The sequence below is a fragment of the Homo sapiens genome, chromosome 1 (genome assembly GCF_000001405.40).
Source record: "Homo sapiens chromosome 1, GRCh38.p14 Primary Assembly".
NCBI lineage: Eukaryota > Metazoa > Chordata > Mammalia > Primates > Hominidae > Homo > Homo sapiens.
Window position 1 is genome coordinate 211,172,545 of NC_000001.11, and position 3,429 is coordinate 211,175,973.

General features: G+C 36.1%; 1 pseudogene; it reads left to right on the forward strand.

Moving 5' to 3' along the window:
- Positions 874-1,353, forward strand: RPS25P2 (ribosomal protein S25 pseudogene 2; annotated as a pseudogene).

Below are 3,429 nucleotides of genomic sequence, written 5' to 3' on the forward strand. Positions count from 1 at the left end.
GAAATGCTGGTAATAAATTATTTAAGTTTTTGTCTATCTGAAAAGGTTTTTATTTTGCCTTCATTTTTTAAAGATATTTTTGCTGGATATAAAATTCTAGGTGGCAGGTTTTTTTCTCCATTCTGTACTGGAAAAATTATCCCACTGTCTTCTTATTTTCATTGTTTCCAATGAAAAATCTGATGTCATCTTTATCTTTTTTATCTGGCTACTTTTAAGATTTTCTATGACTAGTTTTGAGAAATTTGATTATTATGTGCCTTAATGCCATTGTCTTCATGTTTCTTGAGCTTTGGGTTCATTGAGCTTCTGGGACCTGTAGATTTATAGCTTTCATCAAATTTGGAAAATATTTGGCCATTTTTTTCTAAATATTTGCCTCTGTCCTACATCTCTATTTCAGGGAATTCAATTACATATATACTAGGCCACTGAAATTGTCTCACAGCTCACTGCTCTTTACATTTAAAATAAATTATTTCTGATTAATTTTGAATACTTTCCATTGCTATATGTTCAAGTTCATTCATCTTTTCTTATGTAATTATAGTCTACTGCTAATCCTATCCAGGGTCTTTTTCATTTCAGACATTGCAGTTTTCATCTCTAGAAGTTTGGGTTGGATCTTTTTTGTATCTTCACATATCTACTTATCTTTTTGAATGTATACAAAATGTTTAAAATACTTTTAGTGTCTTTATCTGTTAGTTCTAAAATCTGTGTCATTTTGTGTCCAACATCTATTTTATTTTGATTAATCAACTTTTGTGTTTTGTTTGTTTGTTTGTTTGGTCCTCATCATGGGTGGCACTTTCTTACTTCTTTGCAAGAAATTTTTGATTGGATATCAGACATTTCAAATTTTATCTGCTGCTTTTTGTCCGACATCTTAGCGAGGCTGCAGTGTTCGCTGCTGCTCTCTGACCTTTGCAATACTGCTCAAGGACAAGAAGAAGAAAGACTCTGGAAAATTGGCCAAGAAAGACAAAGACCCAGTAAACAAATCCAGGGGCAAGTCCAGAAAGAAGAAGTGGTCCAGAGGCAAAGTTTGGGACAAACTCAATAGCTTAGTCTTGTTTGACAAAGCTACCTATAACAAACTCTGTAAGGAAGTTCCCAAATACAAACTTATAACCCCAGCTGTGGTCTCTGAAAGACTGAAGATTCGAGGCTCCCTGGCCAGGGCAGCCCTTCAGGAGCTCCTTAGTAAAGGACTTATCAAACTGGTTTCAAAGCACAGAGCTCAAGTAATTTACACCAGAAATACCAAGGGTGGAGATGCTCCAGCTACTGGTGAAGATGCATGAATATGTCCAACCAACTGTACATTTGGAAAAATAAAACTTTATTAAATAAAAAAAAAGTATCTGCTTAGGTGTTGGATATTTTTATATTCCCATAGGTATTCTTGAACTTTGTTCTAGGATGTTTCTATCTTACTTGAAAATAATTTTTAGTCTTGCTTTTAAAATGTTAGGTGAGACCAGAGGTACACTCAGTCTATATTATTTCTGACTACTGAGGCAAGAACTTTTTGAGTCCTCTACTAAATATCCCATGAATTATAACATTTTCCAGGTTGGATTATAGAGCAGGCACTACCCCTTGCTCTGTAGTAGAGCTGAATACTATTCTCTTTAATCTTCTTGGATGGTTCTTTGTCCAGTCCGGATAATTTTCTCATACACATGCGCCAATCAGTACTCTGCTTAATACTCAAGGGGACCTTCCTCAGGCACTAACCACATTGCGTGTGCTCAATAGCCAAATGTGATTAATGGCCAATGTTTTCAGTGACATATATATGAAACATTACTATTAATATTATTGCAGAAAGTTCTATTGGAAACTATTATTCTAGAGCCAGTCTTATCTGACATCAAGCCTTTACTCAGTGCATCAGTGCTTCTCAAAATTTACTGTGCATTTAGACCAGCTAGGGATCTTGTCAAAATGCAGATTCTGCTTCAGGACGTCTGGATCATACCTGACATTCTCTATTTCCAACAAGATACTAGGTGATGAGAATGCTATGAGTCAGCAGACCACAGTTGAGCAACACTGTAACCCATGAGATATAAGCGTGCATATATTATTAAGTTGGTCTGTTTTCTTTTTATGTGGAAGAAAAACATACTGAAACAAATAAAAATAGACCAATAATGAGAAAAGATCAGTGTAACATCTCATAATTTTTTTTTTTGCTTTTATGCAATTGTTTCAATACCTAACTGACAACTCTACCTTTACACACAAGTTAATTTCCTAAATACATATTTAGGAGGGTGAGTTCCATGTTTCCTTAATTTTAATGTGAACAGACTTTATGCTAAGAAGAGAAAATAGTATTCAGTGATATACTAGAGGTGGCTCATACCATTTTATGAGAATTGTTAAATTTTTAGAAATTTTGCAAGCCATTACGCAAAGTAAAATATAATTAAATTACTTTAAAATAAAGATATAAATTACTCAAATTCATCACTGCCTAATTATTTTGCTACTTTTTTTACTATATTATTTTACTACTTTACTATTATTTACCTCTTGAGGTTATTAGCATCTGTTTTATCTGCCCAGTTGAAATACAACATTTTGGTGAGCTATTACATGTTGGTAGTGATAGTGACAGGAGGCAGCCAAATGCCTAGGCAGATAGGGGCAGGTCCCCAGCAGAACCCCACCTACAAGCTGAAGACAGTTTAAAGCCTGAAAGCAAAGCTACAAGTTAAATCCTTGGACCAGATCAAGAACCCACCTTCCCATTTGGCATACTTTCCCCTGATTGATCCCCATTCTTCAACTATTTTACATATACTTGCCCTTCCCTAGTTGGTTTTCTACACTATTGTGCCCACCTTTGAGTGCTGTCTTTGCTTTGACCTTTTTTGCATACTCACAAACCAATCAGCACATACTCCCTATTCTGAGCCCATAAAAGGCCCTGGCACAACAATATTGAGAACTTTCCTGCCTTCAAGTAGGGAGACCATCCCTGCATCCCCTCCCCACTAAAAGCTTTTTCATCACTCAATATCACTCCCTGCCTTGCTCACTCTTTGAGTGTCTGCATGCCTACTTTTTCCTGTCATGAGACAAGAACCCAGAGTTGGCTGAGCTAAGGAGCAAAAAGTCCTGCATCAGTAGCTTGAAATTGACCATTTACACCACAGAAACAAGCAAATACTGCAAATAAGGGCTTCCCCTTCTTCCCCAGAGGGCTAATTGTTACACATATACCAGCACACCTCTGATGGTAGTGCCTTGGGAACCAAGTAAATTCAAAACATACTAGATTAAGTAGTGTCTTAAACAATAATATTTCTCACCAATTCTTAGAGTTAACTGGGATCAGACATTTTGAAACATGGGAGAAACATGATAATCAAGCCGAGAGACAGATCACTTACCCAGGAAAAAAGGCCAGAT